The 12,402-nt window shown below is 46.7% G+C and overlaps 1 protein-coding gene across 2 annotated transcripts, besides 6 other annotated features; it reads left to right on the forward strand.

Moving 5' to 3' along the window:
- Nucleotides 1,331-2,100: an enhancer, noted in NCBI's record as "H3K4me1 hESC enhancer chr2:27007325-27008094 (GRCh37/hg19 assembly coordinates)". NCBI's record gives its function as "activates a minimal SCP1, AML or CMV promoter by ChIP-STARR-seq in naive H9 embryonic stem cells {active_cell/tissue: H9 hESC(naive)}" and the evidence as "EXISTENCE:reporter gene assay evidence [ECO:0000049][PMID:30033119]".
- Nucleotides 2,362-2,461: an enhancer, noted in NCBI's record as "active region_15477". NCBI's record gives its function as "activates an Ori minimal core promoter by ATAC-STARR-seq in GM12878 lymphoblastoid cells {active_cell/tissue: GM12878}" and the evidence as "EXISTENCE:reporter gene assay evidence [ECO:0000049][PMID:35858748]".
- CENPA (centromere protein A) lies at nucleotides 2,930-11,463 on the forward strand. 2 transcript variants are annotated; one of them, NM_001809.4, is made up of 5 exons: nucleotides 2,930-3,170; nucleotides 9,005-9,114; nucleotides 9,630-9,707; nucleotides 10,019-10,200; nucleotides 10,686-11,463. In NM_001809.4, the coding sequence occupies exons 1-4, from the start codon at nucleotides 3,071-3,073 to the stop codon at nucleotides 10,151-10,153; spliced, it is 423 nt and encodes a 140-aa protein (NP_001800.1). In that variant the 5' UTR covers nucleotides 2,930-3,070; the 3' UTR covers nucleotides 10,154-10,200; nucleotides 10,686-11,463. The 2 variants fall into 2 exon arrangements, with proteins under 2 accessions (NP_001800.1, NP_001035891.1); NM_001042426.2 differs by lacking the exon at nucleotides 9,630-9,707.
- Nucleotides 3,112-3,221: a silencer, noted in NCBI's record as "silent region_11277". NCBI's record gives its function as "represses an Ori minimal core promoter by ATAC-STARR-seq in GM12878 lymphoblastoid cells {active_cell/tissue: GM12878}" and the evidence as "EXISTENCE:reporter gene assay evidence [ECO:0000049][PMID:35858748]".
- Nucleotides 3,552-3,601: an enhancer, noted in NCBI's record as "active region_15478". NCBI's record gives its function as "activates an Ori minimal core promoter by ATAC-STARR-seq in GM12878 lymphoblastoid cells {active_cell/tissue: GM12878}" and the evidence as "EXISTENCE:reporter gene assay evidence [ECO:0000049][PMID:35858748]".
- Nucleotides 3,662-3,711: an enhancer, noted in NCBI's record as "active region_15479". NCBI's record gives its function as "activates an Ori minimal core promoter by ATAC-STARR-seq in GM12878 lymphoblastoid cells {active_cell/tissue: GM12878}" and the evidence as "EXISTENCE:reporter gene assay evidence [ECO:0000049][PMID:35858748]".
- Nucleotides 11,581-11,781: a silencer, noted in NCBI's record as "peak3629 fragment used in MPRA reporter construct". NCBI's record gives its function as "represses an SCP1 promoter by STARR-seq MPRAs in K562 erythroleukemia cells {active_cell/tissue: K562}" and the evidence as "EXISTENCE:reporter gene assay evidence [ECO:0000049][PMID:32103011]".

A 12,402-nucleotide genomic window follows, 5' to 3' on the forward strand; every position in this document is an offset into this window, starting at 1 on the left:
AGAGCATATCCCCATTGTTAAGCATGGGAACTGTATAATGCCTTTATTATATATACATGACTATATAATAAGGGCTATATGATAAGCCAGAGTTACCATGGCACCACAAAATGTTTTTTAAAAAATCAGCCAAGTGGCAGGGTGCGGTGGCTCACGCCTGTAATCTCAGCACTTTGGGCGTGGTGGCACACGCCTGTAGTCCTAGCTACTTGGAAGGCTGAGGCAGGGGAATCGCTTGAACCCGGGAGGCAGAGGTTGCAGTGAGTGGTGGTCGCACCACTGCACTCCAGCCTGGTGACAAAGTAAGACTCCATCTCAAAAAAAAAAAAAAAAAAAATTAGCCAAGTGTGATGGTACATTCCTGTTAGTCCCAGCTACTCAGGAGGCTGAAGTGGGAGGATTGCATGAGTCCAGCAGTTCAAGGCTGCAGTTAGCTGTGATTGCACCACTATACTCCAGCCTAGACAATAGTGCAAGACCCGGTTGTGGGGCGGGGTTAATATATATATATATATATATACACACACACACACAACATAGAATTTACCATTTTAACCAGTTTTAAGTGTACAGTTCAGTGGCGTTAAGCACGTTCACAGTGTTGTGCAACCATCACCACCATCCATATCCAGAATTTTTCATCTTCTCAAACTAAAACTCCCCACCTATTAAATACTAACTCCCCATTCCTCCCTTACTCACTGGCAACCACCATTTTACTTTCTGTCTCTATGAGTTCCGTTATTCCAGGTACCTCATACAGTATTTGTCCTTTTTTTTTTTTTTTTTTGGAGACAGAGTCTTGCTCTATTGCCCAGGCTGGAGTGCAGTGGCACAATCTCAGCTCACTGCAACCTTCCCCTCCTAGGTTCAAGCAATTCTCCTGCCTCAGCCTCCCGAGTAGCTGGGACTACAGGCCCGTGCCACCACGCCCGGCTAATTTTTTGTATTTTTAGTAGAAGCGGGTTTTCACCAGGTTAGCCGGGATGGTCTCGATCTCCTGACCTCATGATCCACTGGCCTCAGCCTCCCAAAGTGCTGGGATTATACAGGCATGAGCCACCACACCCGGCCTTGTCCTTTTTTTTTTTCTTTTTTTTTGAGAGAGGTGCCACTCTGTCGCCCAGGCTGGAGTGCAGTGCCACAATCATGGCTCAGTTCAGCCTCAACCTCCTGGACTCGAGCGATTCTCCCACCTCAGCCTCCTGAGTAGCTGGGGCGACAGGCATACATCTGCACGCCCGGGCTAATTTGTGTGTGTGTGTATCTTTGGTAGAGGTGGGGTTTCTTTCTTCCTTCTCCTCCTTCTCCTTCCCCTTCTCTTTTTTTTTTTTTTTTTTTTTTGAGACAGAGTCTCACTCTTGTCGCCTAGGCTGGAGTGCCGTGGCATGATTTCGGCTCACTGCAACCTCCGCCTTTCAGGTTCAAGCAACTCTGCCTCAGCCTCCTGAGTAGCTGGGATTACAGGCGTGAGCCACAGCACCTGGCAAATTTTTATATTTTTAGTAGAGACGGGGTATCGCCATGTTGGCCATGCTGGTCTTGAACTCCTGACCTCGGGTGATCTGCCTGCCTCGGCCTCCCAGAGTGCTGGGTTTACAGGCGTGAGCCACCACGCTCGGCAAGATGGAGTTTCGCCATGTTGGCCAGGTTGGACTCGAACTCGAACTCAGTGGTTCCGAACAACTTGGCCTCCCAAAGCGCTGGGATTACAGGCATGAACCACCGCACCCCAGCCCAGCATTTGTCCCTTGGTGGACTGCTTTATTTCACTTAGCATAACGTCCTCAAGGTTCATCTATGTTGCAGCAGGTGTCAGAATTCCCTTCCTTTTAAAGGCTGAATAACATTGTGGTATACACCCCATTTTGTTTATCCGTTCATCTGTTGGTGTGTATTCAGGCTGTTTCTGCCTTCGGGCTGTTGTGAAGAATGCCGCTATCAACATGGGTGTGAGAATATCTGTTCAAGTCCCTGGCTATATTTAAATTCTTTTGGATATTTAGCCAGAAGTGGAATTACTGGATCATCTGGTAATTCTATTTTTGATTTTTTGAGGAACCACCAATACTATTTTTCACAGCAGCCGCAGCATTTTACACTCCCACCAGCAATGCACAAGGGTTCCATGAAATCACTAATTTTATAACATTTTTCCTGATTACATGTTCACTGTAGAACATTTAGAAAATGCAAGAAATAAAATTTAGAAAATTAAAATTCCCCTTATTCTACATACCGGGACATGACTTGAATTTTTATTATCCCCAACAAAGGGAAGAGAGCATTTTTTTGGGACGATTGCGTTGCTATAGTGCCGAGGCCTGCCCTGCCCGGACCTTATTCTCAAAGCCCCGCCGATCCCGCCGTCCCCGCGACCCCAAGCGTCAGCAAAGTTTATGCAGTTGAACTGGATTCTGAGTATATCTGTGGATAGTTCCTGGGAGAGTCGCAGATACGACACGGGGTTGTCACATTCTCTATGGGTCTGTTTCCTCATCTTTAAAAGCCATCTCTGCGTTGCTAAGGCAAAGCATAAAATGTTTGAGGAAAGCGACTTTTCTAGAAAGCACGTTCTACAAACACACCATCCACGTTCCAAACTGAGCTTCGGTGTTTTGACTGGAGGGCACCTGAGGACGTCAGTACGGTCCCGCAAAGACCAGCAACCAGATTGGCAAGCAGGGGGCAGGAGAATTTCCCGCCCCATCTCTTTAGTTGTCTATTGGTTGATTTTACCATCAGTCTCCCCTGTCCTCCTATCATCGCCGCTATATTTGTGTCTCGGTGCATACTCTCATTGGCCCTACCTGCAGTCGCTCTACGTAAGGGGCGTTCCAGAGTCAGCCACTGGGAGTCGCTGGATTCGGGTTTTAAAAAACGCCGGCCGTGAAGTGGGCGGAGCGAGCGATTTGAACGCGAGCGGCGCGGACTTCTGCCAAGCACCGGCTCATGTGAGGCTCGCGGCACAGCGTTCTCTGGGCTCCCCAGAAGCCAGCCTTTCGCTCCCGGACCCGGCAGCCCGAGCAGGAGCCGTGGGACCGGGCGCCAGCACCCTCTGCGGCGTGTCATGGGCCCGCGCCGCCGGAGCCGAAAGCCCGAGGCCCCGAGGAGGCGCAGCCCGAGCCCGACCCCGACCCCCGGCCCCTCCCGGCGGGGCCCCTCCTTAGGTAACCGGCCGCGGCCCCATCTCGAAGAGGAGAAAACCGAGGCTCGCAGGCGGAGCCCGGATCTCCCGAGTCCCGATCCCGTGGCACTTCCCTGTTGGGGGACAACGCGGTTCCGCCGTCCGGCATCCGCTCCGGGCACGGGCGGTGCCAGCCCTGCGAGGGGCTGGAGCAGGCGGTTCCGAAAGCGGGAAGGGACCGGCTTAGCCACTTGGCTCCTAACGCCGTCTTCTTGTTAGGACTAGTGGTTACCCAGCGCCCACCGCCCACCGCCAACCAGGCATTGCCTCCCACTGTTCGTGCGTTATCTCAGCTTCATATTGTGCCCATTTTACAGCTAATGAGAAAGCCGAGGCACAGGCCAGAGAGCTTGAGCAGAGTCACACAACTTGGTGTTCTGGCGGACACGGGATTTCCAATCCTCTGTGTTTGTGCATTTTTAAATTGCAAAAGTATTGACTGCTTTCGGTGACGATTTCAAACAGGAGTCCTCTTAGGAGGTGTCTTTCAGGGGTTTTTTTTCCCTTCCGGGAGAGGCTGTTAGGCCTTGAACCGAGGCCCTCTGCGCTGCTCACTCTGTTGCCTTCCAGAGCTTGTGTCCGGGAAAAGGGGCCGAAGTCTGTGTCTTAATTGTCTATGGTGGGCTGGTGGATGGGAGACCCAACGGCAGGAGGAGGCAGATGCCTGTATGGTACATGGTGGCAACAGCTGCTTTACTTATCTCTTAACTCTTGCTACGTAGCTATGAGGAAGATGGGAAGTGTATTGTAGTTTATTTGTTTCATTGCTTTTTGTAGAGACTGGGTCTCCCTGTGTTACCCAGGCTGGTCTCAAACTCCTGGCCTCAAGTGATCCTCCTGCCTGGGCCTCCCAAAGTGCTGGGATTGCAGGCATGAGCCACTGTGCCTACAGGCTTTTTTGGGTTTTTTGTTTTGTTTTGGAGACGGAGTCAGGCTTTGTCGCCCAGGCTGGAGTGCAGTGGCGCGATCTCCGCTCACGGCAAGCTCCGCCTCCTGGGTTCACGCCCTTCTCCTGCCTCAGCCTCCCGAGTAGCTGGGACTACAGGCGCCTACCACCACGCCCGGCTAATTTTTTGTATTTTTGGTAGAGACAGGGTTTCACCGTGTTAGCCAGGATGGTCTTGATCTCCTGACCTCGTGATCCGCCCACCTCGGTCTCCCAAAGTGCTGGGATTACAGGCGTGAGCCACCGCGCCCGGCCGGCTTTTTGGTTTTTTGTTGTTTTTTTTTTGAGACCCATCGCCCAGGTTGGAGTGCAGTGATGCCACGAGGGTTCACTGCAGCCTCAACTTCCCAGGCTCAGGTGCTTCTCCCAGCTCAGCCTCCCGAGTAGCTGGGACTACAGGCATATGCCACCATGCCGGCTAATTTTTTGTATTTTTAGTAGAGGTGGGATTTTGCCATGTTGCCTAGGCTGGAGTAGGTTGTTTCTAGATGTTGCTGTTGCGAATGGGATTTTTTTTCTTTCCCAAAACACGAGGATTTAACCTTTGCTTCCAGCCAACTTGCTGAATTCTCGTTCACCCTAGTCGTTTTTAGTTGCTCCAGTTGGAATTTTTAAGTAGACTATTATGTCATCTGCAAATAACTTTTGAATCTTCCGTTTTCATTTCTACACATTTTATTTATTATTGTATGGTACTAGTAAGGCCCTGAGACTCACTAAGAGTGGTGTTTTGGTCATCTTTGTCTTGTTTGTAATTTTAACAGGAATATTAAGTATGATGTTTGCTGTTGCTTTCCAAGGTAGAAGCATCCTTCTACTCCTGGTTAAATGGAAGGTTTATCTCAAATGGGCAGTCAACACTTCTTGGCAGTCCTACCACCTTTGTCTGGTATTCTTTCTTCAATTTTCGAGACAGAGTCTCACTCTTGTCATCCAGGCTGTAGTGCAGTGGTGCTATCTTGGTTCATTGCAGCCTTGACCTCCTGGGCTCATGCAGTCCTCCTGCTTCACCCTCCTGAATAGCTAGGATGACAGACCTGCACCACCATGCTTGACTATTTTTAAACCTTTTTTGTAGAGACAAATTGTTTTGTCTCTACAGAACAAAAAAAAAACAGCCATCGTGCCTGGCCTTTGTCTGGAATTCTTGCTTTTCCATTCTCCCCATGACTATTTCATACCTTTTTCTCCCTCCTCGACTTCCTACAGCTCCATTCCCCCCACTCACTCTTAGCCAATAATGGCCTTGACTAGGTGTCCCCCTTCCTATCAAAGCCCTTCCTTCTACATGGGGTCTTGGTCATATCCTTCTTTCACCTACAGAGGAGCTTTCTACCTGTGCTTAGATAAATCCAGACACTTCACACTGGCATCGGCACATATGCTCTAGTATTTATGATGTTTTGTTTTGTTTTGTTTTTGTTTTTGTTTTTGAGACGGAGTTTCCCTCTTGTTGCCCAGGCTGGAGAGCAACGGCGTGATCTCGGCTTACCGCAACCTCTACCTCCCGGGTTCAAGCGATTCTCCTGCCTCAGCCTCCCGAGTAGCTAGGATTACAGGCATGCACCACCGCATCCGGCTAATTTTGTGTTTTTAGTAGAGACGGGGTTTCACCATGTTGGTCAGGCTGGTCTCCAACTGCCAACCTCAAGTGATCCGCCCACCTTGGCCTCCCAGAGTGCTGGGATTACAGGCCTGAGCCGCTGCGCCTGGCCGTATTTACGATCTTAAGAGAAAGGGCAGGAGTGTTTCCTTGACCCCACATTCTCACTTCCCTATACCTCCCATTTCCCTCTACTTCCCTTCATAGCTGTCCTTTTAAAATAGCCAGACTTGTTAGGTCCACATACATTGCATCTGATTCCTCCCTTCCTAGTGACCCTACAACCCACTCCAATCTGACTCCCCACAACCACTACCCCCACTTCTAATCTGCTTGAACTACTCCTGTCAGGGTCACTAGCACCTTTTGTAGTGCCAAATCCAGTAGGTGGGTCTGTGTTCTTACTGTGTCTCAGAAGCATTTGACGCAGTGGGCCTCTTTCTCCTTGAAGCGTTCTGTTCCCTTGGCTTCCATGCCACTGTGCACTCTGGCAGTTCTGCTTGGTGTTCTCTACTGCCTGTGCTGCCTCCCTCGGCTCCTTGATGTTGGACTTCCTTGACATCCTTTTCCTTTCTACCCCCTCCCTAGGTGGTCTCATCTCCTCCGTGGCTCTAAATCCCACTCATACATTGACAGCTCTCAAATATCTGTATACCTGGATCTCTCCTCTGACCCCAGATACCTATATCTAACTGCCTTTCTACCTGAAGGCTCTTGGTTATGTTAAACTTAACACACCCAAAACTGAACTTCTGGTTACTCCCCTCCAGCCCCTTCATCCTCAGCTTCCCCATTTCAGTAAATGGCACAACTACCCACCCAGTTGTTCAAACCACAAGCCTGGGAGACCCCCGTCTCCAATACAAATGCAGGTCCAGATAATTCTACTTCCAAACTGCATCCTTAATCACTCCATTTTCACCATCTCTGCTCCCACTAGCCTAGTCCAAGCTACCAGCAGCTCTCGAGCAACTGTGAGAGCCTCCTAATCAGCTGCCACTCCACTTCCACTCTGTCCCTTTCTACTTCTTTCCTTACACAGCAGCTGGAATGACCTTCCACATCTCTATCCTGCATAAAACTCTTCCCTGGCTTCTTATTACAGTAGGATTAAATTCCATCTCCTCATGTTGGCATTTCAAGACCCAGCTACTAAATTTTTGATCCCAGTTCTTTTCCATGATCTCTCTAATTGGTTACTTTTCATAACCACTTGTTCTTGGGTCATGGATTTCATATCTCTGTTACCTCTCTGAGTTCATTAACCATTTTTCTCTCAAAGTTTCTATTTCTTTTCTCTATTAACTCAATTTCCTCTGGTATTGGCTATTTTGTTTGTTGAGTTTGGTTCCTTTCTTTCATGGTATTGGCCTTCTTAAATTGTTGGGTGATCTTTAGTTGTGTTCATCTTCAAATTTTCTGTGAATGCTATGTCTTGTTTATTTTTTTATTTTATTTTATTTATTTATATATTTTTGTTTGAGACACAGTCTCATTCTTGTTGCCCAGGCTAGAGTACAGTGGTGCGAGCTTGGCTCACTGCAACCTCCATCTCCTGGGTTCAAGCAATTCTCCTGCCTCAGCCTCCCAAGTAGCTGGGATTACAGGTGCCTGCCACCATGCCCGGCTAATTTTTGTATTTTTAGTAGAGATGGGTTTCTCCATGTTCATCAGGCTGGTCTCGAACTCCTGACCTCAGGTGATTGACCCACCTTGGCCTCCCAAAGTGCTGGGATTACAGGCGTGAGCCACCGCACCCAGCCCTATGTCTGTTTATTAAAGACTGCCTCCAGTGACTGGATTGCCAACTGGTGGTGGGGAGGGAGGGAGGTGTCAGTAGTTTTTCTCCTGGGCATGGGTCTTCCCAGTTTTAAATGTTATCAGTCTTCTGGACACTGCCCTGTTTCATTGGCCTGTGTTCTCTAGCCTCACCCAGGGATGGTCTCCTCTGCTGGCTGCCTGGCACAGGCCATCTCTGGATTGTCTCACCTACCCTACTTGCTCTTGCAGCTCTTCTAACACTTCGTGATTAGTTTATTGTATTAAATGCCTTCTATCGAACTTGGTGTAGAGTCTCTTTGCTTGGCTGGATCCTGAATAACATTTCTGAAACAATTTTATCCGTCAACATGTTATTTTTGTATTTTGTTTGTTCAACTTATCAGATGTTCACTCATCTTGATCCTTGGTTGTAATTATGGAGCAACTGTGCTGTTTTTTCTTTAACTTTATTTTCACTAACTTATTTTCTAATATTTCTTTTGTTCTATCTTGTTTTGGTTTACTTTAATAACTCTGTAATACTTAATTTGACTGCTTGGCTCAGATACCTTTTAGTGTTCTTGTTTTCTAATAGGAACACTTTAAGGCTATGCATTTTCCTCTAGTACTATTTTGGCTGTATCTCATAAGTTTTGGGATATGGGCTTTTTATTGTTATTCATTTCCAAATAGTCTAATTTCAATTAAGTTTCCTCTTCAACACAGGTTAGTTAGAAGAAACTGGTTTTTGATTCATGAGTTTTTAATTTCCAATTAGAGAATTTGGCTTTTTTGATTCCTACTTTTGGGAATGTTTTTAAAATTATTTTCTTTTTTGTTCTTGTTGGAACCAGGATTTGAGCCAAAGGCTCTGTCTCCACAGCCCAGGTGCCTGACACTGACACTGAGTTAGGCCACACCTTACACAGGTCTCAGCTTGGCCACTAATGAGGGCTGGCCAACCATCTTCACCTCGCTGGGCCTCAGGATGATCAAGACAAGGGAATTGTACTAGTCTCTCAGATTCTTTCCAGCTGTAAAAAACAAACCAACAAAAAATCTAAAACCAAAATAACTGAGCTTCCAATCTAGGTGGGAAAGATCTAAGACTTGTACAAAGTCCTGCAAAGCCCAGAGGAGGGCGGTCACCCATCTGTTTGGAAGGATCAGGATTCGGGAAAGACTTCATGGAAGAGTTAGCATTTAAAATCAACTGCAGAGGATCATTCACTCATTCATTTAACAAATGTTTATTTAGCACCTATCTGCTATTTTCTAATTGCTGAAGATAGCAGCAAAATTACTATATATCAGGTTGGTGCAAAAGTATTGTGGTTTTTGCCATAACTGCAATGACTTTTGCAGCAACCTAATAAAACAGACAAAAATCCCTGCTCTGTGGAGGGTAGGCACATAGATATAGTCTAGCAATTTGACAGCTTACCTGACTCAGCCAAGCTGCGAGGCACCACCTATTTTCCACTGAACTTACCTTTCTTTTGCTCAGGCGCTTCCTCCCATCAACACAGTCGGCGGAGACAAGGTTGGCTAAAGGAGATCCGAAAGCTTCAGAAGAGCACACACCTCTTGATAAGGAAGCTGCCCTTCAGCCGCCTGGTAAGCTCCGGGAGCTTCCCACCAACCCCTATGCCACCCTCCTTTTTTTAAATTTTCCCAGGTATTAGGGACCCTACTGTCTCTTAACTAACTGGCCAAGGGACCTCTTTTGTAACCTGGTAGGGGATTCTTTTCTGAAAACATGAGCCCTCCAAGAGCACCTTGTAATTCTTTATGGAATTGATTTCTAACCTCTACTACCTTTTTAAAACTGTAGTTTTTGACTGTATAAATAGGAACTCTCTCGTTTGTCCACCTTAGATCCCTTTTCCTATCCTGGGAGATTGCCTCTCATCACCCAATTACTGGTGATTTCCCCATCACCAGTAAGAGATCCGCCAGTTCCTAAGCTCCCAGGAGTCAACACCTGCTCCTAATTGGGTCCTAAGATTAAGAGCCAGGAAAAAATAATGGAAAGGAAGATTCACTGGAACTCATGGAGAGCATCATTGTCCCTTGAATCTCTCTTCTGTTACTCCCTACTCCTACTCCTCCCCTTCCCCACTCCTTCACAGGCAAGAGAAATATGTGTTAAATTCACTCGTGGTGTGGACTTCAATTGGCAAGCCCAGGCCCTATTGGCCCTACAAGAGGTAAGAAGGCACCAAGGCACAATTGGGTGAGGGCTGAGTGGGAGAAAGAGGCAGCCTAGAATTCTCCAGTGCTGACTGGAGTGTCACATGCTGAATCTGACCTCTGGAAAAGAACAATGAGGTAACCTCTGAGGGTTTGGAGGCTGGATTCTGCGTGGTGATAGCAGAATTCCCTGGCAAAGTTCAGTCTCATTCTGTGAATAGTTTCCTACAATCCTTTGAGCCCTCAGAGATTAAGTTTAGCAGGTTTCCAAAAAAAAGCAGCCCGTGGCCCTTCATCTGTGTCCGTCTTTTTCTCTTTCTGTCTCCAGGCAGCAGAAGCATTTCTAGTTCATCTCTTTGAGGACGCCTATCTCCTCACCTTACATGCAGGCCGAGTTACTCTCTTCCCAAAGGATGTGCAACTGGCCCGGAGGATCCGGGGCCTTGAGGAGGGACTCGGCTGAGCTCCTGCACCCAGTGTTTCTGTCAGTCTTTCCTGCTCAGCCAGGGGGTAAGCTCATCCTCTTTCACAGGACTGGGGCTGGAATTTCTCAAGTAATTTCCTTTCTCCATCCATAGTCCCTTGTCACCTCGCCTTCCCTTTGTTCTCTAGTAAAGGTTGATCTAGTTTTGACTGCCTGGGACAATGTGGTTTGTGCCCTTTTGTGCAATGTTAGATAAAAGATATCTTTCTATTAAATAATAACCAGATGACCCTAATTTCTTTTGGTTGTTATTGTTGTTGTTTTATTTTTATAAGACAGGGTCTCTGTCATCAGTGTTGCCATCGTGGCTCACTGCAACTCCTGCCTTGGCCTCCCAAAGTGTTGAGATTACAAGAATCAGATGACCTCATTTTGATTAAGAGAAAACTTTCTAATAAACTTTCTAATAAAAGAGAACACTTTCTAATAAAAACTTTCTCTTTTTTGATTAAGAGAAAGTTTTCTTACTTTTGAAAATGGCTTGTTAGTAAGTGTGCTTCCTTAATTTCAGGGATGATACCGGGGACTCTCCAGAGCCATGACTAGATCCAATGGATTCTGCGATGCTGTCTGGACTTTGCTGTCTCTGAACAGTATGTGTGTGTTGCTTTAAATATTTTTCTTTTTTTTGAGAAGGAGAAGACTGCATGACTTTCCTCTGTAACAGAGGTAATATATGAGACAATCAACACCGTTCCAAAGGCCTGAAAATAATTTTCAGATAAAGAGACTCCAAGGTTGACTTTAGTTTGTGAGTTACTCATGTGACTATTTGAGGATTTTGAAAACATCAGATTTGCTGTGGTATGGGAGAAAAGGCTATGTACTTATTATTTTAGCTCTTTCTGTAATATTTACATTTTTTACCATATGTACATTTGTACTTTTATTTTACACATAAGGGAAAAAATAAGACCACTTTGAGCAGTTGCCTGGAAGGCTGGGCATTTCCATCATATAGACCTCTGCCCTTCAGAGTAGCCTCACCATTAGTGGCAGCATCATGTAACTGAGTGGACTGTGCTTGTCAACGGATGTGTAGCTTTTCAGAAACTTAATTGGGGATGAATAGAAAACCTGTAAGCTTTGATGTTCTGGTTACTTCTAGTAAATTCCTGTCAAAATCAATTCAGAAATTCTAACTTGGAGAATTTAACATTTTACTCTTGTAAATCATAGAAGATGTATCATAACAGTTCAGAATTTTAAAGTACATTTTCGATGCTTTTATGGGTATTTTTGTAGTTTCTTTGTAGAGAGATAATAAAAATCAAAATATTTAATGAAAATGGACTTACTGTTACAGCATAGAGATTATACTGTACTTTTTGTGTGTTAAAAATAAGTTCTTTATTTGTTTGCAAACAGCCACAATTTTTTTTTCTTTTTTTTTTTTTTGAGATGGAGTCTTTTTTTTTATTGATCATTCTTGGGTGTTTCTCGCAGAGGGGGATTTGGCAGGGTCATAGGACAATAGTGGAGGGAAGGTCAGCAGATAAACAAGTGAACAAAGGTCTCTGGTTTTCCGAGGCAGAGGACCCTGCGGCCTTCCGCAGTGTTTGTGTCCCTGGGTACTTGAGATTAGGGAGTGGTGATGACTCTTAATGAGCATGCTGCCTTCAAGCATCTGTTTAACAAAGCACATCTTGCACCGCCCTTAATCCATTTAACCCTGAGTGGACACAGCACATGTTTCAGAGAGCACAGGGTTGGGGGTAAGGTCACAGATCAACAGGATCCCAAGGCAGAAGAATTTTTCTTAGTACAGAACAAAATGAAAAGTTTCCCATGTCTACTTCTTTCTACACAGACACGGCAACCATCCGATTTCTCAATCTTTCCCCCACCTTTCCCCCCTTTCTATTCCACAAAACCGCCATTGTCATCATGGCCCGTTCTCAGTGAGCTGTTGGGTACACCTCCCAGATGGGGTGGTGGCTGGGCAGAGGGGCTCCTCACTTCCCAGAAGGGGTGGCCGGGCAGGGGCGCCCCTCACCTCCCGGACGGGGCGGCTGGCCGGGCGGGGGGCTGACCCCTCCTCCTCCCTCCCGGAGGGGGCGGCTGGCCGGGCAGAGGGGCTCCTCACTTCCCAGTAGGGGCGGCCGGGCAGAGGCACCCCTCACCTCCCGGACGGGGCGAACAGCCACAATTTAAACAAGATAATTAAGGGAGGTGGTTTTGCCTCTGGTGGAGTAGAGTATGACTAGATGAAAACCTTGCCCTTCTGT

The sequence above is a fragment of the Homo sapiens genome, chromosome 2, assembly GCF_000001405.40.
Source record: "Homo sapiens chromosome 2, GRCh38.p14 Primary Assembly".
Classification (NCBI taxonomy): Eukaryota; Metazoa; Chordata; class Mammalia; order Primates; family Hominidae; genus Homo; species Homo sapiens.

What these genes read in the sequence shown, in the direction of transcription:
- CENPA (NM_001809.4), top strand. Translation starts at nt 3,071, where the DNA reads ATGGGCCCGCGCCGCCGGAGCCGAAAGCCCGAGGCCCCGAGGAGGCGC. An exon ending in CCGGCGGGGCCCCTCCTTAG is followed by an intron (nt 3,171 to 9,004) that starts GTAACCGGCCGC and finishes TCTTTTGCTCAG; the next exon opens with GCGCTTCCTCCCATCAACAC. An exon ending in CCCTATTGGCCCTACAAGAG is followed by an intron (nt 9,708 to 10,018) that starts GTAAGAAGGCAC and finishes TTCTGTCTCCAG; the next exon opens with GCAGCAGAAGCATTTCTAGT.